We start from the raw sequence: 24701 nt of genomic DNA, 5'->3' as shown, positions 1-24701 counted from the left end.
AGCAGGTACTTCTAATAAGGATGAGGAGGAAAGCAATAACACAATGTTGCCATGGAGAAGTGGAGGCTCTTGCCCCTTCCTCGAGGAATAGGGCTTGCTGTATCCATATGTTTGATAGATTCAAAGTCAACTAACCTTTTCTGAGTATCTGCTATGTGTCAGAGGAATGCACACACACTTATAATTATTACAACTCTAGAAAGTAGAGATTATTATCCTCATTCTGCTGAAAAGGAAACCAGGCTCTGTTTTGTTTGTTTTGTTTTGTTTTGTTTTTTCTTTTTGAGACAGAGCCTCACTCTGTCACTCAGGCTGTACCAGGAGTACAATGGTGCCATCTTGGTTCACTGCAACCTCCACCTCCCAGGTTCAAGTGATTCTCCTGCCTCAGCCTCCCAAGTAGCTGGGACTACAGACACGCATCACCACACCTGGCTAATTTATGTATTTTTAGTAGAGACGGGGTTTTGCCACGTTAGCCAGGCTAGTCTTGAACCCCTGACCTCAGATGATCCACCCGCCTCGGCCTCCCAAAGTGCTGGGATTACAGACGTGAGCCACCACGCCCGGCCCAGGCTCTGTTACTCCTGGCCTCAAGCGATCCTCCTGCCTTGACCTCCCTAAGTGCTGGGAAAAAGAGCCAATGTGCCTCACCTCATGTGCTGTTTTCATTTACCAGGAAAAGCGGGATTTGGTGTGGAACTCGGAACTTACTTGTCAGGCACTATCTACAACACCCATCACCAGCAGGGTAGGTGTTCCTGGTGTAGGAGAGGGCACTGTGAAGGGAGGCAACATGCCATTACAGTGGTCAGCCAGAAGGATCCCATGAAGGAATATGATGAGAGTCATTCCTGCCCAGTCCTCACCAGGGACAGGTGCAGCTGCCAATAGAGGCCCATTCATCTTTAGGAGGCTATAGTCATCACATTTATTCAGTAGCAAATATGGATTGTTAGGCTAAACAGACCATAATTTAGAACGGCAGTCTCTTAATTGTGCCATTGGTATTCATCACTGTAATAAAATTGTCTAATTGAAAAAGCTATATTGACAAACCAACAAGCAGTACATTGATTTAGTAGCAGTTTTGAATTATTAAGTCTGCAATGTTTTATTCCATAGAACGTTTATATTTTTCATTAGATAGGTCTTCTCTTAAAAGGGGCTGAGGGGTTATTTTGGAAAACTCTTCAGACTGAAGTAAGGATTGCTTCAAGTATGGGAAGATTTGTGGATTCTGAAAAGCCATTTGGTTTTCTGTATGTACTGGATGTGCGTATGTGTGTGTGTGTGTATTTGTGTAGACTAATTTCCCTAGATGATCTGAGCCAAAAATGAAAATTTAAAGTTTGTTCTACTAGTCCTGTGAACTGAGGTCACCAATTGGGAAAGAAAGGATGAGGAGTCAATGTACAAGCCCACCTACCTGGTTGCACTGACCCATGCAGAAAGAACAGCCACTGTGGTAGTGAGCAAGGGCTCTGCGGTGACAGTCTACAGCACATGATGGGGACCACAGCAAGTACTCAATGGGACTGGTGTATTGTTTATATGATTGAAAGGGGTGCTGTGTTATTTAGAAATAGTATTTACCTGCATGTAGCAAAGACCTGGAAAATAATGGGTTAATTCTCCCATATAATGAAAGTCAAGCTGTAGGTAGTCTAAAGTTGCATAGTGTCTCTCCATGATTCAGGCTCCATTCTTTTTTCTCCACTACCCCTATCCTCAAGATGATTTCATGGTTCATGATGACTGCAAGGACCTTGCCATCAAACCACTGAGAAGGTTTGAAGAAGGAATAAAGATAGAAGGGTGGAAAGTGGCACATCTTCCAGTAAGTGGCACTGCAGCACACCCCACACGACACTTTCATTCATAGTTCAGCGGACAGAAGTTAGTCATGTGACTACACTTAGCTCAGAGTGAGACTGTGAAATGTTGCCTTTGGCTAGGCATACCACCGCTCTGAAATAAAATAGGGATTCTTTCAGTATAGAATTTGGGAAAATTAATATTAAGTTGGCATTAGTAGTCTCTGTCACAAACACATTACATTAGCATGGCTTTTGGTGGAGACAAATTGGCAACATCCATCAAAATGTTAAATATTCATACCCCTTGAACCAATAAGTATAAATTTACTCAGAAATATGTGCACATATACAAGTATATATATGCTTATTATAGCACAGCAGTATTAATAATATCAAAATATTGGAAGCAACCTAAAGGTCTATCAATGGTAAAATTGTTTAATAAATTGTGGTATGTACCACAGAATACTATTCGGCTATGAAGGAAGAATGAGGTGACTATAAGTACTGAAAGGCAAAATGACATATTATTAATTAAAAAAGCAAGTTGCAGAGTAATAGTGTATTTCCCTTAGTAGAATTGTATTATACACATCCCTGGGGATGGGTCCGAATCTTTGCAGGCAGAGGAATGAACTCGTGTAATTTGAAAGAGGTCCCAGAAACTCTAAAAGAAAATAATAGTAATGAGTGCAAACCGAATCCCCAGTACAAATACATGAGTGAATTGTTACCACATAGAAAGTGGTAACAATATTATTTTCAGAAGAGCTCTGCTTGTACCAAGCTTGCATCAAAGTATTGGATGGGTCAATCTGACATAAAGCCTTCGTAGCACATCTAATGGTGAAACTGGCATGGGAAGGGCGTCAGTGCCGCTTCTGGGTGAATGGTGAACAGGACTCTGAAGTAATATTCCACTACAATGGCAATATAATCAGATTATAACTTTTTTTAAATACGTTGAGCTCTTACAAGAAACAAAGGGAACTTTCCAATGTCAACAAAACAAAATAAAACAACATGCAAACATGCATAGTAAGCTAAAGCTAGCATTGAGTGGTAAGCAAACTGCAAAACTTGGAGGAGAAATGCCAGTGTCAGTCACAAATGAGGGATTGAAAGCTAAGCTCTGAGGCTGCTGCCAGGCCCTGTGTCCTAATTAAGGAGGCTAAAGCTGTCCCTTGTTGTTAGCATACGTAATTCCAGAAATATATAAATTCAAATCCCTTTTGAGGAAGGTGTCATTAATTCAGGATTTCAGGATTCCTATAGACTATGTGAAACCAAATGGATAATTATGATGAAAAAATCCCCAAATATACAAAGAAACAAAAGACATAATGATGATATGAGTTAGGACTAAGTTTAGCCTCACACAGCAGAACAAACAAATAATGGTGGCTTAGACACACACAGTTTTATTTGTTTTCATCTAAAAGACGTCATGAGATAGGTGTCCAGGACAGATTCATCAGAAATTCATCAGGGACCTGTTTCTTTACAGTTTATGAATCATCTCAGATCTACGTTATGCTCCTTGTTCTTGTGACCCAAGATGGCAGCTAGAGCTCCAGATGCTCACATTCCAGGCCAATTGTGGAAGGAAAGGGATGAAGGGCAGGCCTATTTAAAAAAAAACAAAACCAAAACATTCTGAAGTTTGCACACAGTACTGCCACTTAAAATTTATTGTCAAAAATTTAACCACAATGATCACATCTTGATGTGAACAAAAACTAGGGAGTTTTAACTGGCCAACAATAAGCTTGACTAAAAATTAGTATTTTCCTTACTAGCAAGGGAGTTGGGGAATGGATGCTTGTTGTCAACTGAGTCTCTGACACAGTAAGTGTGTAATGAGCTAGAAAATGGCACCCCTGAATATCTCAGTCCTAAGCCCTGGATCCGTGTGTTATGAGAAAAATTTGAGACTGTAACATCCCCTATCCCTCCCAAGTTGGGAAGGTGCCGAAAGACCAAAGAATGATTTAGGGAAGTTGTGTTTGGCAAGTAGATGAGTTTATTGAGACATACAGGGCAGGGCACTCCTGAGTGGCAGCAGCACAGCTCAAGAGATCTGTGCCACCTCCCTTCTCTAAGCTGCTGTTAAGCTAATTTTCGGGCTCTTTGCCTACTGTGTTTGTGTGATGGTACTGTTTTCTTTGGTAGGTTCTCACATACTCCCTGGGATGTTTAGGCTCTCAGGGACACCTGCTCCTCAGCTGGGTACCATGGCCGTGACTTACTATCTGGCCTTCAGGGTTCAGGCAGCGGGCATATACTTTTAAGTAACCTGGTAGGGCAGCCTGTCACACTGCACTGTTAGTTAGTATCACCTTACATGGCAAAAAGGACTTTGCAGGTGTGATTAAGTTAAGGATCTTGAATGAAGAGATTATTCTGTATTATCCAAATGGGTCCTAGATGTAATCACAAGTGTTCTTATAAGAGGGAGGCAGAGGAAAGTGTGACTACAGAAGTAGAGGATGTTGGCTAAGCAGGGTGGCTCATGCATGTAGTCCCAGCACTTTGGGAGGCTGAGGTGGGAGGATCGCATGAGCTCAGGAGTTCAAGACCAGCCTAGGCAACATAGCAAGACCTCATCTCATTTTACAAAAATAAATAAATAAATAAATAAATAAATAAATAAATAAATAAAGTAGAAGATGCAACAGGTTGGAGTATGGAATGATGCAAGGAAGGGGTCATTGGCCATGGAATGATGGAAGCCCCTAGAAGCTAGAAAAGGCAAGGGAACATCATTCCTACAGCCTCCAGAAGAATCAGCCTTGACTTTAGCTTAGCGCTTTTGGACTTCTGACCCCAAACTGTATGAGAAAGAGTTTGTGTTGTCTTAAGTCACCAATTTGGTCGTAATTTGTTATAGAACTCACTAGGAAATGAATACATATTGAATGTCAGCTGAAACTAAAAACAGATATAGACCCACACCCCACAGATTCTAGACATTGTAATTATTAGACACGTAGCATTTTAAAGAAAATTCAAAGATAAAAAAAATTTACTTAGAAAATGTGCATGGAAGAGACTATAAAGTGACCTGGAAAATCAGAAATGGCATTCATTTTCTCATTTGAAATAAAATGAAGAAATGAAAAATTATAACATCTCTCTCTCTCTCTCTCTATATATATATGTATACATAGCATTGAGTGGTAAGTAGATATATATATATAAGTATATATATATAAATTATATATATATAAAATTTTTGTAATTAAAAAAATAGAGACGAGGTCTCACTTTGTCACCCAGGCTGGAGTGCAGTGGTGTGGTGTGATCACAGCTCTCTGCTGCCTTGAACTCTTGGGCTCAAGGGATCCTCCCATCCTAGCCTTCCTAGTTGGGACTACAGGCACACACTACCACACCTGGCTAATTTTTAAATTTTTTGTAGAGATGAGGTTTTGCCATCTTGCCCATGCTAGGCTCAAACTCCTGGGCTCAAGTGATCTTCCTGCCTTGGTTTCCCAAAGTGCTGGGATTACAGGTATGAGCCACCACACCCAGCCATAACCTAGATATTAATAACACAACGGATTGGTTAAAATTGGTGAGCTATCAAAAAAATATGAGAAATTATTGTTAGGGCTAGATAAGGGCTAGATAGGGAGATAAAAAGTATGACAGAGAAGTTAAGCAATACAAAAGATAGAATGAACAAATAGAGGAGAGACAACATTTGACATATCATGGATTATAATTTTCCAAATATGATGACAGCCATGAATCCACAGCTATAGGAAGACCAACATATACTAAGCAGACTAAAATTCCACACCTAGACACATTCTTGTGTAATAGAACAAAATACTAAAGGCCAAAAGAAGATCTTAAATAAAAGCCAGAGAAAAGGATCACCTACAAAATAAAAACAAGTTGGCTGACAGGAGACTCCTTGACAAGGGAAACTAGACAACAATAGAATAATATCTTCAAACTGATTAACTTACTGTGTTCCAGGAAACGTACTTTCCCAGGAAAAGGGGCTAAATAAAGACATCTTCAGAGTAGCAAAGAATGAGATAATTTACAACCAATGGTTCTTAATTAAATGAAGTTCTAAAGGATGTAATTCAGGAAGAAGAAAAATTATTCCAGTAGGGAGTTCAGAAATATAAGCAAAAATGAGGAACAGAAATGTTACTGAAATGCTAGGGGTTCAATCTGGGTCCTGTTGCTCACTGCACAGAAAGCCAATCACTGAGACAACAAGCACTGCCAGGGAAGAAACTTTCATCAAGGTGCTGCAGCCAAGGAGAAGGGGAGGTAAGTCTTAAATCTGTCTTCTCAACTGACTAAAATTAGGGATTTATATAGCAGGGAAGAAATGTAACTATGTGTGGGAAAACAGGAATTAGGGAGCAGTAAGGAAGCAATCATGACAGATGAGGGGTCTGGTGTCTTATTATCTGGATGTGGTGATCTGGTAAGTTTCATTTCCTTGATACTATCTAGGAGGCCTGAGGATCAGTTTCCTGAGAAAGGAACTCAGATAAGACAAATGTAAATTTCAAGCTTTAAGACCAAGAGGGTCAATTTCTATGTCTATCCAAAGACCATAAGCATCAGTTATATGGGGATATTGGGCCAGTTTCAGAAATACCCAGTAAACATGAGGGTTAAACTGAGGTAAATGCAAACAAATATTGTCTGGATGTGACTTATAGTAACAATAATAACAATAATAATGTACAAATACAAACTGAAACCAAATGAGATATCATTTTGCTCCCACTAACTTAGCAAACACTAGGAAGCCTGACAATATCTATTTTTGGTGAGTATGTGGAGCAACAAGGACTCTTACAACATGAGTGAGGAGTGTAAATGGGTATAAAAACTTTGGAAAATAATTTGACATTATCTCATAAAATTAAGCATGCTTTACCACCATGCAGTACCCCAGGGAAATTCTTGCACATGTGCACCCATTGGCAAGTTCAAGAATGTTTATAGCATCATTGCTTGTAACAGCAAAAACTGGAAATAACCCAAATGCTCCTCAATGGGAGAATGTATAAATAAATTGTGGTCTATTTATACAAATGGACTCTGTGAAAATGATTAAAGTACAGCTAACTGATACAACATTAACAAATTTTAGGTAAATAACATTGAGTTAAAAAAAGTGACAAATTGTATATAGAAGATTGACCCCATTTTATGGAAGCTCAAAAAACAAACTAAAACTAAAATTTTAAGGATATTTACCTATGTGGTAAAGCTATTTTTTAAAACCAAGAGAATGATAAACACAAAATTCAAAATGATGGATCCTGCTGGGGTAGAGAGGAGAGGGGATGAGTAGAGGCACATAGGTGACTTAAAGGTATCAGACAAAGAGGGACAGTTCTTAAGTTGCATGATAGGTTCACAGGTATTTATGTTATTACTGTGCTTTATAACTGCTGTGGTTTAGATATGGTTTGTTTGTTCCCACCAAACCTCATGCCCAGTGTGGTACTGTTGAGAGGTGGGGCCTAGTAGGAAGTGTTTGGGTCATAGGAGTGGATCTCTCATGAAAAGGTTAATGCCCTCCCTTGAGAGTGAGTGAGCTCTCACTCCATTAGTTTCCAAGAGAGCCGATTGTTAAAAAGAGCCTGACACCTCTCCTCCCTGCCACTCCCTTCAGCCTGCCACTGCTTCCTCCTCTTTTTCCATGTGATCTCTGCACATGCTGGATCCCTTTCACCTTCTGCCATAAGTGGAAGCAGTCCAAGGCTTTCACCAGAAGCCAAGCAGGTGCCAGTGCCATGCTTCTTGTAGTCAGCCTTAGGTATTATTTTATAGCAACACAAAACAGACTAAGACGATAACATATGTGTCTTATACGTACATTGTATATATCAAGTATTACATAAAAAATAATAAAGAGTGGGAGTTGCGAGGCTGGCTTCCAAGTCAGAGTGTCTGGTTTTCAGTCTGGTCACTACTGCTTAAGTGGTTGTGCAACCTTGGGTAAATCACTTAATCTTTTTAAGTCTCAGTATTCTCATCCTTAAAATGGGAGCAATAATAGTTCCCACTTCATAGTTACTGTGAGGCTTATATAAGATAATACTCAGAGCACTTAATAAGTGTTCAGTAAATGTAAGGAGGAATTATTATTTTTACTTCTGAATTTACCCTCACAGTGGTCATTGTGTGTAATCAAGGCCATTGATTACCATCTGTCAGGGTGTCAATCCACTCATCTCCACCTTCACCTCCCCAGTGTATCTCACCTTTTTTGCCTTCATCTTTACCTTCTTCCTTCCACTCCCACCTCACAAGTAATCTCACAAATATAAACATGAACAGCATCAAGGGCTTGTCTGACAGACCATTTAAAGATGCTCTGTCTTTAAAGATGGTTGCCAAGAAGAGAATCTTAAGCATGAAAGGCCAGAATTTTCCTTGCTTTAGGGCTCAGCAGATCTGGCTATTGCTTCAGAATGTGTTTGGATGGCTTTCTTTGGTCCTTAATGAAACTCTGAGTGAGTAATATCTAAGTGATGCATACTTAAGGGCTCCAACCAGGATAGTCAATTGGATGAAATAAAATCAGCAAATATCCCCTCTAGGAAGATTTGGATGCTGATGGGATCTGAATGGGTTGTGAAAATCCCTCCTTTGGAGCTTGGATTCCCAATAATTAATGAACGTATAGTTGGCTAGGGCATTGTGAGAAATCCGGCTAGAATCCTGGCAGCAAAATCTTGAGCTGAAAGTGTCTGTTTTCATTATACCCTTGGGACTGGAGAAAAATAAGTACAAAGTTGCATTTTCCACTACTTTTTCTTTTCATTTTAGTTTCAGTACAGCACAGGCCAACTGCATTGGCCTTAGGGAATAGGTATTTTGCAGTATGTTTTGGAGTGCTTCCCTTTGTGTTCTTCAGAATTGCAGTTGGTTTCCTTGGCTAGAAACAAAGATGAAAGGAGGTGCTCATATCTAGCTGCCTCCATTCCCCGCCAAACCCTAACTCTCTAATGAAATGCAATCTACAGCATGATGACTAATGTAGTAATTCTGCCTGTGGCTGCTGGCTCCCAACCCTTTCTCAGGTTTTTGTCTTCCCTGGATGCTGTCATTGGATCATGTAATAGATTGATTTGTGTCCCCCTAAATAGATGTTGAAGTTCAAACCCACAGTTACCTCAGAATGTGGTAACTGCTTGGAAATAGGGTCATGCAACTTAATAGGAAAAGGGCAGTCCATTTAAAATGAGGGCATAGGCTAGGCCCTATTCAGCGTGACTGATGTCCTCATAAAAAAGGGAAATTCAGACATAGAGATAGACATGCACAGAAGGAAGATAATGTGAAGACACACAGGGAGAAAATACTCATGTAAAGATGGAAGATTGGAGCGATGAATGTACAAATCAAGGAATGCCTGAGGTTACAAGAAGCTAGCCTTAACCGCAGAACCACTTACTGAACACTTGTTAATACCACTGTGTGATGGGCTTTTGTATGAACTACCTATATTAGTCAGGGTTCCCTAGAAAAATAGAATCAATAGCTAAATGTGTGTGTATGTGTATAAATTTATTATAAGAATGTGTAAGAAATTGTAAGAAATTATTATAAGAAATTGCAAGAAATTGGCTCAGAACTGGATAAAATATGTTATAAAAACACATTTTTTTCCTCATGCACGTAAAGATATCCATTGTCCTGGATCTAGCTTTTTTCAGTTTACAGAATATCTCGGGGATCTTTCAACCTTAGTCTGGAATTGTGTCACTCATTTAAAAAAAACTGTCTTTGGGTGAACATTTAATTAATTTTTAGTATTTTACTATAATAAAAGCACAGCAATAAATATCCTTGTGTGTATGTTTGTTAGTTTTCTTGTTTTTTTTTGTTTATTTTTGTTTTGTTTTGTTTTGTTTTTGAGATGGAGTCTCACTCTGTAACTCAGGCTGGAGTGCAGTGGCACCATCTCGGCTCACTGCAACCTCCGCCTCCTGGATTCAATCGATTCTCCTGCCTCAGCCTCCTGAGTCACTGGGATTACAGGCACCTGCCACCACGCCCAGCTAATTTTTGTATTTTTAGTAGAGGCGGGGTTTTACCATGTTGGCCAGGCTGGTCTCAAACTCCTGACCGCAGGTGATCTGCCCGCCTTGGCCTCCCAAAGTGCTGGGATTACAGGTGTGAGTCTCCACACCCAGCCTATATGTTTGTATTTACTTAATGGATACATTATTACATTTCACACACATGTAGGTAAAGCTCATTGCTTTTAAACTAAATAAAAAATGGTTTAAAAATTGATTTAATTATCCTTAAGCCATGAACCAAAATATTCTCTTTTCCTCGGCCTGTCTCATTCCTTAATTTGCAGATGGACCACATCATCTGAACATGGGCCAATTTTTACACAGGCCCAAACACATACAAAAGTATTTCAAATCTTGGTTGATTGGTAGGAGGCATGACTAAAAATCAGACTGGTTAGATATGCTGGAGGAGATTTTAGAATGAGAAATCCCAGAGCCTCAGAATTTTATAGCTTAAAGGGATCTTAAGGTTCAGGTAGTTTTAGATGAGGCCCTGGAAGACAAACTTATCTGTGCTTGATCACTGAAAATAATCACTGGTCTACTGACTGATGGATAGATTTTTTTTTTTTTTTTTTTGAGATGGAGTTTCAGTTTTGTTGCCCAGGCTAGAGTGCAATGGAGTGATCTCAGCTCACTGCAACCTCTGCCTCCTGGGTTCAAGTGATTTTCCTGCCTCAGCCTCTCAAGTAGCTGGGATTATAGGTGCCCGGCACCATGCCTAGCTAATTTTTTATTTATTTATTTTTTTTTATTTTTAGTAGAGACAGGGTTTCACCATGTTGGCCAGGCTGATATTGAACTCCTGACCTCAGGTGATCCACCCACCTTGGTCTCCCAAAGTGCTGGGATTACAGGCGTGAATCACTGCACCTGGCAGAGTGATGGATAGATTTTAAGTTTAAGGTAGTAGTTGGAACTGCACTGTCCAATACAGCAACCACAAGCACTTGAAATGTAGTTTAAGTTGAGATCTATTATTAGATCACACTAATAGTGTAAACTATAAACAGGATTTTGAAGACTTAATACTAAAAAAAGTAATGTCTCAATAATTTTTTATATTGGTTGCATGTTGAATTGTTAATATTTTGGATCTATTTGGTTAAATAAAATATACTCTTAAAATTAATTTCACAGTTTTATTTTGATTTTTTAAAATGTGACCTTCAGAAAATTTAAAATTACATGTGTGGCTTGCATTTTATTTCTATGGAACAGTTCCAGGTTGGACTATTTGGGAAGGGAAAACCTACTTATTTGAAGACTCAAAGGGAAGACTTAGGTCAGAATAGGGAATAAATTGATTTTCTCTATTTAACATCTATTTCCTGTTTAGGATGAGAAAGTTTATTTTGAGGCTATTACATTTCATAATCTTCCCAGTATGTGTTCCTGTTTGAGGATGAATGTGGCATGCCCTTATTTTCACACTAGCTTTTACATTCCTTGCATGAATCTCTTGGTGATCGATTCATCAGACAATATGTCTGATTTAATATTTATCTGACCAGTTACTTCAGAAGAGAGAGATAAAATAGAACATGTTCAAGAAATTGAGAGGTTATTGTGCCTTTGCCAGTCATTCAGCCTGAGTCACAGGCTCATCTGAAAAAATACAGGAGGGGTCCCCAGGTATAAATTTAAAGATAAACAAATATTGCAATGTAAATGATTTTGTCACACAGCTACAGTGCAAAAAACTCACATTGCTTGTGTGTGTCTGTGTGTGTTTCTAACAGCTTTATTGAGATGTAATTCATATCCCATACAATTCACCCATTTAAAGTGTTTTTTTAGTATTTTCAGAGTTGTGCAGCCATCACTACAATCACATTTAGAACATTGTCATCACCCCAAAAAGAAACTTTGTAACTCATTATCTGTCACTCCACACTTCCTCCAAACCTCCCCAGCCCCTGGCAACCACTAATCTGCTTTATGTCTCCATAGATTTATCTATTCTTGACATTTCAAGATCCATTCATGTTGTGTCCTTTAAAGGTTCATTGACGTTGTAGCACATGTCAATACTCCATTCTTTTTTGTCATTGCATAATATTGTGTGGTTATACCACATTTAATTTATCCATTCACCAGTTGATGGACCTTTGGGTTGTTTCTATTATGTGGCTGTTATGAACAATGCTGCTATGAACATTCACCTACACACTTTTTTCTTTTTGTATCATTTCATATGTTTCATTTCTTTTGGGTACATGCCTAGGAGTGGAATCGCTGGGTCGTATGGTAACTCTATGTGTAGTTTGTTGAGGAACTGCTGGACTGTTTTTCAAAGTGATTGTACCATTTTACATTCCTACAAGCAATGCTTGAGGGTTCCAATTTCTCCACGTGCTCGCCAACATTTTTTTTCCTCTTGAGCATAGCCATCCTCATGGGTGTAAAGTGAAATCCGCTTGTGGTTTTGATTTACATTTCCCTGATGGCTACACATGTGTGTTTATAACACATTTTATCCAGTTCTGAAAGTCCACTCACCAGGCTGGTTATTCAGTATTAGTATTGGGGCTCCCTCCCCTCTGTCATTAGAGCATACCTTACTTCCAGATACAAATGTGGTGGGGGCCTACCGCTTAGTCCTTGTTGGCCACATCATTACCACTGCCCCTTTCCTCTGCTTGGTTCTACCATCAACAGCTTGTCTCCCACCGCGGACCATGTATTCTGCTTTCACACCCGTGGCTCTTACTGTGGACTCTCCCAGCACACCTCAGCTAGTGCCCCCATCTTGCCATTGCATGCAAGTGGAGCACAGGACCCGGCCTCTTGCAGAGACTTGCACCCCTCAGTCACTTCCTCTCAGGTGTGAAAATGAAACTTTCCATTACGTTCTCAGAACCCCTTTCCTTTTATGAAATTTAGGCCCACTGATTCTTCGAGGCTATACTTCAGAAAGCATGACTACATGTTATCTCTAGAGTAAGGAAGTCCAAGGCTTCCATGCATAAACGCTTACTCCTTGGTTTACGATAAGCTGAAAGCAATAGAGATAGTGTCTTGGATAGAATTCCCTAGAAGCAGAGTCCAAAACAGGGATTCAAATGCAGAAGACTTATTGAGGGAGTGTTCTTCAGAAACAGAATTAAAAAACTTAAAGGGGCGGCATGAAAGCAGGATAGGGAGAGGGAAAGAGAGCAAGGACGTTGCCTCAGGGGAAGCCTCACGTTGGTCTGATCCATAGGGGTAGACTCTAAAGCAGTGTTGGCCAGTAGAACTTACCATGATAATGGAAATGTTCTATAGAATCTGCACTGTCCAGTAGAGTTGTCACTGGCTACCTATGGCCATTGAGCACTTGCAGTGTGGCTAGTATAACTGAGGAACTAAATGTTTAATTAAATTTGATGTAAATTTAAATAGTTAATATGGCTAATGGCTACCACATCAAACAATGTAGTTATGGAGTGTAAACCTCAAGACAAAATTGAGGGAAGGGGATTGTCCTCTTGTGCTCTCAATGGTTGTGGGCTGCCTTGGCCTTGGTGGGAGGGTGGGGTGGGGCATAATTTCTGTAGTAAGTGTGTTGGCACCAGACATTCACACAGCTGGGGAGGGTGCACTGGGCCAAGCAAAGCGGGTAGGGGTGCACCACAGCACCTACTACAGGTTAGGTCTCAACAGGGTCATCCTGACATCCTATTTTAATCCCAGTTCACGATTTCTCCAAGAACTAATTATAGCCATAGAGTAACCTGAGGCCAACAACCAGCCATGCGCTTCATGCAGCAGAACAGCCTTCCCAACCCCCAAAGCTCACATCTCTGGCAATTTCTCTACTGGTTTGCTGGTCCCAAGAGGAGGATCATGATGTTTTGCATAAGCATACAAAGGAATGCAGAGATAATTTTTCTGTGGGCTTCTTAGTATTAGCTTTTTCAGCCATAGAGAGGAATTTATTTGAATCAACAATATTTACTACAGTCTCTCAGATGACTAGCCTCAGAGCTCTAAAAAAGAAGAAAAAAGAAAACGTTACCCTTCCTATGCTAAAATGTCATGGATTTGAAGTTATAAATGAGGAAACTCAAATTCATGTTTTATTTATAGCTATTAAACTTGATTCATGGTGTTGAAAAAACAAATTCAGCTTAATTTATGCAGGAATTAACTTTGGTGGAGATTAATTTTGAATCTGTAGCTCCTTCCTAATGTATATCATCTCTATTTGGCTTGCAGACAGAGAAAATAGTGAGTAAAAATAGAAATAAAAGCAACAAACTTCCAAAGAGAAATCCTTCGAATCCTTAAAATGAAAATAAAAAGATGTTTTAAAAATCAGAATACTTTTGGAGTTAGAATTTGGAATTAATTTAATGGTCCTTTCCATTGAATTTGGACATTTGGTACAGAGTTTTATATGGAAATACCTAAAATGGGTTGGGTACAGTGGCTCACACCTGTAATCCCAGCACTTTGGGAGGCCGAGGCAGGTGGATCATTTGAGGTCAGGAGTTTGAACCAGCCTGGCCAACATGATGAAACCTCATCTCTACTAAAAATACAAAAATTAGCCAGGAGTGGTGGCAGGCGCCTATAATCCCAGCTACTCGGGAGGCTGAGGCAGGAGAATTGCTTGAACCCAGGAGGCAGAGGTTGCAGTAAGATGAGATCACGCCACTGTACTCCAGTCTAGGTGACAGTGAGACTCCATCTCCAGAATAAAAACAAAAACAAAACCAAAGCCTAAAACAGAAGAAAATAAAAAATAAGACATTGGCATTTATTTATATGTATCTCTCTCTATATATGCGTGTGTGTGTATTTTAGAGACAATGTTTTTCTCTGTTGCCTAGGCTGGAGTGCAGTGGCACGATCACAGCTCACTACAGCCTTGAACTCCTGCGCTCAAGTGATCCTCCTTCCTCAGCCTCCCAAGTAGTGAGGACTACAGGCATGCATCACCATGCCTGGCTAATTATAATTTTTTTTTTTTTTTTTTTTTTTTGTAGAAATGGTGGTCTTGCTATGTTGCCTAGGCTGATCTCCAACTCCTGGGCTCAAATGATCCTCCTGCCTCTGTCTCCCAAAGTGCTGGGATTACAAGCGTGAGCCACCATGCCTGGCCAGTTTGGCACATATTAATACAGGGCTTGATAGTAAGGAATTAAGAACTCTGGAATGTTTAAACTAGTATTATACTTCCGTTATCTATGCCACATCTGTGTAGACTACCAGGTGTGTGTGTGTGTGTGTGTGTGAGAGAGAGAGAGAAAGAGAGAGAAAGAGAGTGAGAGAGTGGGAGGAATAGGAGAGTGTGCTTCAAGGTGGTTAAAAAATAGGGCTCTGGATTCTGCTATTTTGGTCCTTTTTCACCCAAGAGTGGGCAGAACCCTGTAGGTCTTGTCCTCTGTACCACTCTAGGAACCAAGGGTGGAATCTGATCTGTGTTTCCAGGTTGTCTGGATTCCTTGGCAGCTAATGGTGTGGTAGTCTGATTAAAGAATTGGAAACATCAGCCTCCTGAATGTAGAAAGCACTCGTTTTATTAATTTATTACTTCACACTGCATACTGTCATAAGGATTTGTGATAAAACTTACAATAAAGGGAAAAATGCCAGAGGTAAAAATAGAAGAGCCTATGATGCTCGTATATGGGTATGTGGCATATATATGTGTGTATATGATGTATGTGTATAAAATGTGTGTGCACATTGGGAGAGGAGACAGGTGAGAATGAGAGAAAGATGGGTCCAAAAAAAATCAAAGGGAAGCACAAAATATAGCTTTGAGCCTCTTGGAAGTCAAGGGAAAATGGGAACAATAGATCTCGTGCCTAATACAAGAAAGTGTATCAGCTTGCCAAGAGGAATTAATTTTGTTTTTGTTTCAGAATGTCATCTTTATTTTAATTTTTTTTATTATTATTTTTTGAAGTAGAGTCTCTCTCTGTCTCCCAGGCTGGAGTGCAGTGGTGCAATCTTGGCCCATTGCAACCTCTGCCTCCTGGGTTCAAGCAATTCTCCTGCTTCAGCCTCCCGAGTAGCTGGGATTACAGGTGCCCACCACCACGCCCGGCTAATTTTTGCATTTTTAGTAGAGATGGGGCTTCATCATATTGCTCAGGCTGGTCTCAAACTTCTGACCTCAAGTGATCCACCTGCCTTGGCCATCTTAATTTTTTTTGTAAAGAAATAAAACTATCTTTATTAAAAAACAAAAACAAATAACATAGTAGATAATGTCTTCCTTCCTTTTCTTTTCTTAGACCTCACCCATTTTACTTGCTGATGTTACCTGCCAGACCCTGGCTGACACTTGCATTTATGGCCCCTGATGCAGGGAATGCTGTTCAGAGCTCTTCACGCCTGCCTCTTCCTGTGCAAACCCTCAGGCCAGTCCAAGGGCCAGTAGGCAGGTAGAGAAAGAGACGGTGAGGTGGCCTCCACCCTTCCTATGGCAGATGACACCCTCTCTCTGCAGTTTATTAAGATTTCCATGACTCTTCTTTCCTCAGCCCCCTGCACCACTGTCACCCCAGCAGCCAGCGCCCAAGACTCCAGGTCATCTCTGGTGATGGGGCAAGGGAGGGTGTCTAGCAAGAAGGCAGCAAAAAAGTCTCCCCTGTACTTGTGGTCTTGTCTGCCAGTTTTTAATTTAAAAAATTGCAGGGGCATTCTACCAGGCCATGTGTTTTACTGGACAAAAGCAGAGAGTCTAATATTAAGTTGTTGTCCTGCAGATTATGTGTCCAAGTGAGTGATTTGGTTTGCTTCTAGCCTGTGTCCTTGGCAGTTGCATTAGTTCTGAAAGGGAAAAGAAATCTCTCTCCTTCACCAGCACTCCACAAAAAGCAAGGCGGGAAGCTTAGCCAAGTGCACAAATCTCTACTGTGAACTTTTCTGCCGCATGTGGGGAATTACTGGCCCTTGAAAGCCATCGCAGACAGATAAGAAGCAAGGTTATAACATGATTTGACACAGAGTTTTGAAGAGTCTCACTTAGAAATGTGGAAAGTGCAGCTTTAGAAGCACCATTTCAGGAGATTAAGATTTGAAATCGTGTTGCTCTATCTTGCCGTTTTCTTTTCACAGGCTTTTCCTTAGGTTTTGCCGTGGAGTCCTTTTTTCCCTTCCTTTCTTTCCCCAGTGTACACTCGAAGGTTTGCAATGCTTCACGCTTGAAGACTTGAGAAAAACTGAGTCAATTCAATCTGACCGACTTCATAGTCACTGGCTTCATGTGCATTTGCTTGCTGTGAAAAGAAAAGCATGTGAAGAAAAATATATTGCCACTGAATGAATGGATCTGTCTCAAATATAATTGCTCATTTTTACCTGTCCCTTATGTACAAACTCTTTCCAGCCACAGCTCTTCCGAATGGGCCGCACCCTCCAGGCCACTTCAGTGCTACACGCGGCCACACCAGCAACATTTTGCCAATGCCAGTGTCCTGGGTCTCTTCTCGATTCCCTGAGATTCCTGGAGCTGCTCACAAGGCTTGAGGCCCTGGGCTCTTGGCAGCTGAAACAAAACCTGAGAGAAACTCACTGGGTTTTGCAATCAATGTGCTGAAACATCTCCAGCAAGGAGCCACATCATCCCATTTCTGGTCACGCAGATGCTGGAGCTACTGGGCTCCTGCCCCGGGTTGATGGTCTTAGAGAACTTGAGATCAGATTCTGGTCCAGAGGGAAGAGCAGATTCAGTTTCCTGAGAAGAAACCAGGAAGCAGTGGCTAGCCTCATATTTTCTGGAGCAATCCTGCTTTTGAGCATTCTTATTTTGTGGTCTACAAGAATTATTTTGTCCATATTAGAGCATGTGGCAGGGTGGGCATGGGGAGGTGGAGAGGTTGGGGAAGATGTAGGTGTAGCAACTGACAGAAACTGATGTTGGGGAACTGTTCTGGGGAGGCCACTGTCACTATCAGGATACTGTGTTATTAAGAGGGCCACTGACAGGAACGGAAGTTAAGTCTGGTTTATCTGTTTAGCCCATTCTCAGTCTTGTCAGCTAAACAGAAATCAGGGCTCTGGTGTGTTGGTGGAGGAAGAAGAATGGGAGGATCTGGAGCTGGCAATACACATGAGGGCCTGAAGCTTTGGCAGCATTGCAATGGGTGTGATGCAGAACCAGAGGCTTTCAGGTGGCACTGGGGAGCTGGGATGGAGGTTAAGGGAGAAAGGAAGACCCAACAAAAGGAACGAGTAGGAGAAACTTTGCCTATTCCACTGTTTTGTTTAGGCCAACCTTAATCCCTGGGATTTAACTTCTGAATAATGAGTTTAAAAAGAACAAATAATATATGAAGATACTGATGCCAATGATGTGGCACATTGCTAGGGCCTTGGGTCAGTTCCTAGCAGTTTTGCTAGCATGCATGTTAGCAGGTGACAGGATAACCACCGTGACCCCAGAGGGTTTTGACAATCTGGACCTAATCTGTCTTTCTCAATTCATCTTTGTTTACTTTCCCATCAACCCATGCTCTTGTCTTTCTGAATTCTTCCCCATTGCCAGACACCCTGCATTTATACCGCTGTGCTGGGAGTATTCTCACTGCTTGGTAGACAACCATTTCTCTCTATTCTCTGGAAAATTCTTATTATCTATTCTTCACATTCCCTTTTGAGTTCCTTTTATATGATCTTTTCTAGCTCTCTAGATAAAATTAATCTTATCCCTCTCTGAACTTTTGTTTTTATTATATTATAACATATGTAGAATTATAACTCTTTCATCCTTGGTGTCTCTCTGCTAGATCATGTATGCTTTAAGGGAGGAGACCAAAGTTAAATCGAGTTGCCTTGCCTAGCATTAAACTAAATGAATGTCTGAGATATGCGGTACTCTCTCAGTATTTGGTAGGTGTTTCTAAAAGGGAAAGAGAATGGGAGTAGAGAAGCTCTGTCTCTGCTATCAGTGTTATGTGTTGGTATAAACATGTGTTCATTTAAACACACACACACACACACACACACACAGAAATATAGAAGTATTAATACTTACTCTGTGCCAGTTCCTGTGCTAAGAAATTGTACATGGATGTTTGTATTTAATCCTCACAAGGGTCTCTAATGCAGATAACGGTATTATCTCTATTTTAGAAGTGAGGAAATAGAAACAAGTAAGGGTTTAAGTGATTTATTATCCAAGGTCACATAGGTCACATAGCATCGATTCAAATTCAGTCTAACTCCAGAGCCCAAGACTTCATCTGTTATTATTAATTACCTCCGTTTGTCGCATCTCAGTGGAAACCGTCTCTCTTTTTTTAGCTGCTTGACTCCCACTTTAGGAGCTGAAAACTCCACACATTTTTTAGCCTCCCTTGCAGCTAGGATGCAGGTATGTGACCCAGGCTTGACTAAATGGATGTACCTGCTATTGCCTTTGAACTGGGAGCTGGTAACAGATAGAATCAGAGACAGCAGCAAATCCAGAGGCACGGAGGTGGAGCAGCACATTCAAAGTCCTGTGTCTGTGGCTGCCAGTCAACCTGTGATATCTGTGTTTAGCGTGAGGGGAGTGATGGTGGTTTCCCCATTAGATGGGTTAAGTGGTGTGATTTTAGTTGTCCACCTGCTGCCTAGCTTCCCTTGTCTGGCCTCCTTTTCTAAGCCTGGTTCCAACACTGTTGAAATGCCTTGAGCTATTGAACAACACAGCAACACATGCTTTTCTCTGCTTAAATCAGCTAGAGTTATTTTCTGTTGCTTGCGGTAAACAACTCTGACTGGTATAATATCCAAACTCATTATCTTGAATATAAGACTCTCACATACATTATTCTTACCTGGAAGAAAAAAAACACACAAGTAACCAGAATTTTGTGAATGTTCAACAGAGCAGAGGGTGAATGTGACAGATTGTGTATCATTAGGAACAATTTCTAGTTTATCCATCTGACTACTTACTTATGATTCATATGGCAATTTGCATGGATGGTTATAGGACTTTTTAGTATATTCTTACAAAACTCACGTCCAAAAAAGGACTTTTACCTTCCAGTATAATCTGACTCTGGGCTTTATAAATTTCATAATAAATTTTCCCTTTGAATGATCAGAAAGAAAAATGCTAAATATCTTTCTGGCTCATTATAGGCAAAATGGCTTCCTGAAATTGTAGTAGTTAAAAAATAAGATCACAGAGGAAGTTGAATTGCTGAATTATTTAATGTAAGCTGACTCATTAGAGCCTTAGCTTCTGAGATGGAAGAAAATATGATAGTTTACATAAAGGTTACTGATAAATTCCAAGATGAAATTCACTTTGAAGGGAGTAGAATGTTGCTGGGAGTAACTAATCCCTGTGGCATAATGCAATGAAGGAGTTGAGTTTACAGTTTGACAGGGGGTTATGATTACAAGGCATTTCTGAATTGCGGGAGAGGCCACTGCTTCAGATGGTCAAGTGGTCTACTGAGATGTCAGATATTAGACAGGAATAAACTTTACAGAGGCCAAGGCTTTGACCTTAGTAAGTCTAGACATGCTAATGTAATTATCATCACTCTAATCAGATTATAAAGTAAACACATGCTCTATAAAGCAAAGAATCTCATGGGGTTGTTATTTAGAAGATGAAGAAAAGCTGCTTCCCATCTCTCTTGGGAAAGCAACGGGAAGCAAATGAGTGGTTGCAGCATGAGGGATGTTGGTTTGATCAGTGGTTCTCAACTGGGGATGATTTGGCAATATGTGGAGACATTTTTGGTCTATTACAACTGTGGGGGTGGGGAGGCATCTGGCATTGCTACTGGCATTGAGTGGGGAGATGTCAGGGTTGCTGCTGAACATCCTGCCATGCACAGGACACCCCTATAACTAAAGAATTATCTGGCCCCAAATGTCAAAAGTGCTGAGGCTGGGAAACTCTGGGCTAGAAGTAAGAAATAACTTTTTGAATCTGAAGTGATGTAAATATAAGAATAAGGTTATAGGCCCAGGACTACTACGGACCATGTGAAACACCTGCTTCAGGGAACAAAATTTGAAAGAGTGCCCCACATCTCAGTAATAAAGAAAAATAATATTTAAAAACTCAAATTCAATGCAAAAAAATCCATGGTGGACAATCTATCAAAATTTTAAATAAAGACAGGATTCAACAGAGATAGGATTACGGTAGGGAAGTTAAAATGTTATTTATCTTGATTACTGAAGCTGTGGGCACCCCCTACCTTAAATTTTGTGCTCGAGGTAAGTGCCTCAGCTGCTTCACACTAGCCCTGGCCTGTTGGATCATCAATGGCAGAACACCATTTTAGCTAAAAGGTAATTTGGCTTGATTATTACAAATGAGGGGTGTTCAAGCCTGGTGAAAGTAAATGAGAAGATTCAGCTGTAGAATTTTAGACTTTAGTGAATATATTAAGTAAGGAAGCAACCCCCATGTTGAGCTGCATAGAAATTCCCTAATACGGGTTTTTAATCTCTGCGATTTATAGCCTGGCTTTGATTATCCAAGATTATCTTCATTATGAGTGGTAATGTATGGCTGGCATCCCAAAGAGACATGTGGCATTAACCGTGGTCTGTATCAATACGTTTCTGCTACAACTCAGCCTTCCAGAAAAATAACCACTGTATGACTCTTCCATTTTACTTACCAAGTAAACCATTACTTCTCATCCTCTCCTCTCCACAATCCCACTTCACCTCAAAACCAATTTAGCATTCTTTTCTGCGTCCTATTGATATTGACATTATTTTATATTACTTGCACCCTCCCCCCTAAAATGCCTTATATGGATTTTTTAAGGGGAGGATTTTTCCTCCCCTTAAAATTTAACTCAAAATATTTTTCCTTCTAATAAATTGGGGAAATTGTCTAAGTTCTAAGTTTCTGTATGGGGGATATAGAGTACTTATAAAATAATGCTGACCCCCTCAGAAATGCCAGATAAAAGTTTCAAAGATAATTTACTATTCTGGGCAGGGCAGCATAGACAGTTATAAAAAATTACGGTAATATTACTAATTAGGAGAAATGTAGTCTTGGATCTATACCAGAACAAACAGTCTAACCATCATAGATTGCCTTCCATTAATTTCCATCTATGAGTGTCTAGCCTATTAGAGTGCCTGCATTCAGCAAATGTGGTTGTACATAAAGTAACTAGATATGGGACCTACCACTTACCACATCTTATCACTGAATCTAACTGACATATGTATGATTGCTTTTGATCTATGCTATCTTTATCTCAATGCAAATCTCAGCTTCCTATCTGCTATTTTAAAAAATGCTTTCATCAAAGAATAGCAACAGGTTGGGCTGAATTATAGGGTTTGAGTTTAGCATTTTTTTAAAATTCTGTTAGAAACAAAGCAACATCAAACATGGGCTGCTTCTTTCAAACCGCATAGTCATTGCTATCTTGATGAGCTAATTTGTGCTTATTTCTTAAAAAGAAGAGGGAGGGAAAAAGTGTTAGATGGGTAGATAAAGAATAATTCTAATTTAATTTATATTACCAAAGCTAGACATATCCAAATGTTCTCTCTCTCTCTTTTGGTACAGAGGTGAATGGGAGTCTGCTTAATGCTTAAGCAAAAAGTACACTTGATTGTTTCAGATTTAGGACTTTTCTGAGCTGCTTGGATATACAAGGCCATAATTACCTTGCAGTGGAAAATTCAAATCCACCAGGACAGGCCAGTGTTGAGTATGAAGTGGAAAGAGTGTTGCCCTGGGGTAGAAGTCCTGCCGTTCCTTTGGGATTATGCATTTTGACCAAGGACAGGTCATAGAATATAAGTTCTATGTTCCTAGGTTTTCTTTTTCACAAAATGATGATAAAAATGCTTAGAAGTTCCTTTGCAATAAACTGTCCACATGAATATTAGATTTGTGAGCTACGTTTTGTTCTATAGCAGAAAAGAAATTATGTACCCTGGAGAATTTTAGTTAGATCTTCGGAAAGAATGGATGGAAAATTGAAACTAAATGGGGTGTGTATTCTCTTTTCTATATTGATGTTCTCTAAACAAATGTTATAACACCTATTTTATTTAATCTTACAAACATATACTGAACAAATGAAGAAGTCAGTGAATAAATCAAGAGAGCACTGCAAATACTAAGAATCGTTTCATAAAACTTTGGTCTTAGTCATACATAAAGTCTAGGCCACGTGTATATCTTACTGTGGTTTCTGCTAGTCACTGCTGATGAGAGTGTCATATAACAATTTGAATAGAAACATATAATTACTTAAATAAGCTATTCATCACAGAAGGCATAAACATAGCATTTAAATATTTTCTTTTTATCATTCTACTCCCTGCATTGCAATATAATGTCAGCTGTTTAAAAACAACCCCCTCCATTGCACTATTTTGTTTGCTCTTGTGTGTATTTGAATTTTTTATAATAAAAATGTTTTGAAAACCTCTTACCCCACTGTCCTATATTTTTGTTTATGTAAAGAAATCAGGGAGAGGCTCATCTTTACCTCTAACTCTTTAAGACAAACCCTTTAAACAGAATCTGGACCATCTCAGGGCTCCCAGAGGTCTGCGCCTGAAGTTGCATCTTCTGTTCAGGTCTCTGATTCAGATTATGTCTATAGGATGGAAAACAATTCATTAACATGTGTAGTAAGCCAGCACCTTCTGAACAGACAGTTTCACTTGCAGTGTTCTCATAGAATGCTTCCATGAGAAGCATTTTTTTTGGTTTGGGGGGCGCAGCTATTTCAAGCAGCTCACACAAAAAAATTGGGCTCTAAAAAATGAGTTAGAGGTTGCTTGTTATAATGAACTCACTTTTTTCTTTTTTATAGGTATCGGTAGAAAATCAAAGTGGGGGGTGATACTCACGTTTGCAAAACAGCTGTGGAGCCATGGACGGGGCATAGTTCTAGGTGCTTTCATTCATCACCTCGTTACTCTACACGGCAACCTGGGGTGGTTGGTATTATCAGCCCCACCTTACAAGAGAGAAGTGAGGCAGCTGAAGTTCTAACCCTATCAATTCTGGTAAAGAGCACCACAGAGAAACCAAAATATGGTTAAAAGCTTTGTGAGGAGATAGACAGCAGTATACTTATGACGGGCGACAGGATGACAGGAGTCACCTGCTCTGAGAGAACGCTTGTGACCCTGAAGCGCTCAGTTTGGCCCACCCAGGGCTAGAAGCTGCCTTTGTTATTCAAGGACTCTGGGTTTCACACAAATGGCATATCCTTTGGTGGGGGCTGAGAGCCCCTAGAAATGGATCATTACCATCAGAAGCGATGCCTTAGCACCCACATGTGCTACATTCATTAGAATAACCTGCATCCCCCCAGTCCCTGCAAAGTGAGATGGCTGGGTTCAAACAAGGTTCTGTAAAAGTTAGATGTTTGGGTCTGACAAACCATACTGATGCGAGTTTCATAAAATAGATCAACTCACTGGATAGACATCAACTATGTAAAGGAAGTAAGGTGTTGTGTTTACAATGACTCTTTTCCTAAAACATAGATTAAGCTTCCATAAGTTTGCTTTGACAGTGGTAAAATGCAATTGCCAGAGGTTGAGCCAGCTAATCAATGTAATCTCTGTGCTCCTTTAAACACAAGGAATTGTTCTTTTCATAGTTCAGCCCTGCTCCGATGACTTCGCTATTCCCCTTCGAATGAATGTGTAGGCTAAATACATGCAGCTTAACTTTGTGTGATACACACTATTAGATAAGCACAGAGGGTCAGGATCTCATTAAGATGGGGTGGGTTGGAGAAGCCATTTCCACTTGACATCATAATAGCATTAGACTGGAAAAGTTATTCAGATCCATGCAGAGGACACATGGACTTCATTCAAACCCAGTAAGTCTGGCTGTTTGAAA

The 24701-nt window shown here is 40.1% G+C and overlaps 1 long non-coding RNA gene across 2 annotated transcripts; it reads left to right on the top strand.

The window, feature by feature from the left end:
* Nucleotides 1-566: 566 nt before the first annotated feature.
* Nucleotides 567-23268, top strand: LOC105374789 (uncharacterized). Of its 2 annotated transcripts, XR_940223.3 has the most exons (3): nucleotides 567-1840; nucleotides 6037-6113; nucleotides 16955-23268. It is a non-coding gene; the product is annotated as an uncharacterized LOC105374789 (long non-coding RNA). The 2 variants fall into 2 exon arrangements; XR_007086704.1 differs by lacking the exon at nucleotides 16955-23268 and having other exon boundaries at nucleotides 6037-9659.
* Nucleotides 23269-24701: the final 1433 nt, after the last annotated feature.

The sequence above is a fragment of the Homo sapiens genome, chromosome 2, assembly GCF_000001405.40.
Source record: "Homo sapiens chromosome 2, GRCh38.p14 Primary Assembly".
NCBI lineage: Eukaryota > Metazoa > Chordata > Mammalia > Primates > Hominidae > Homo > Homo sapiens.
The sequence above is the reverse complement of the archived record's forward strand: the minus strand, read 5'-3'. Positions and strand labels throughout refer to the sequence as shown.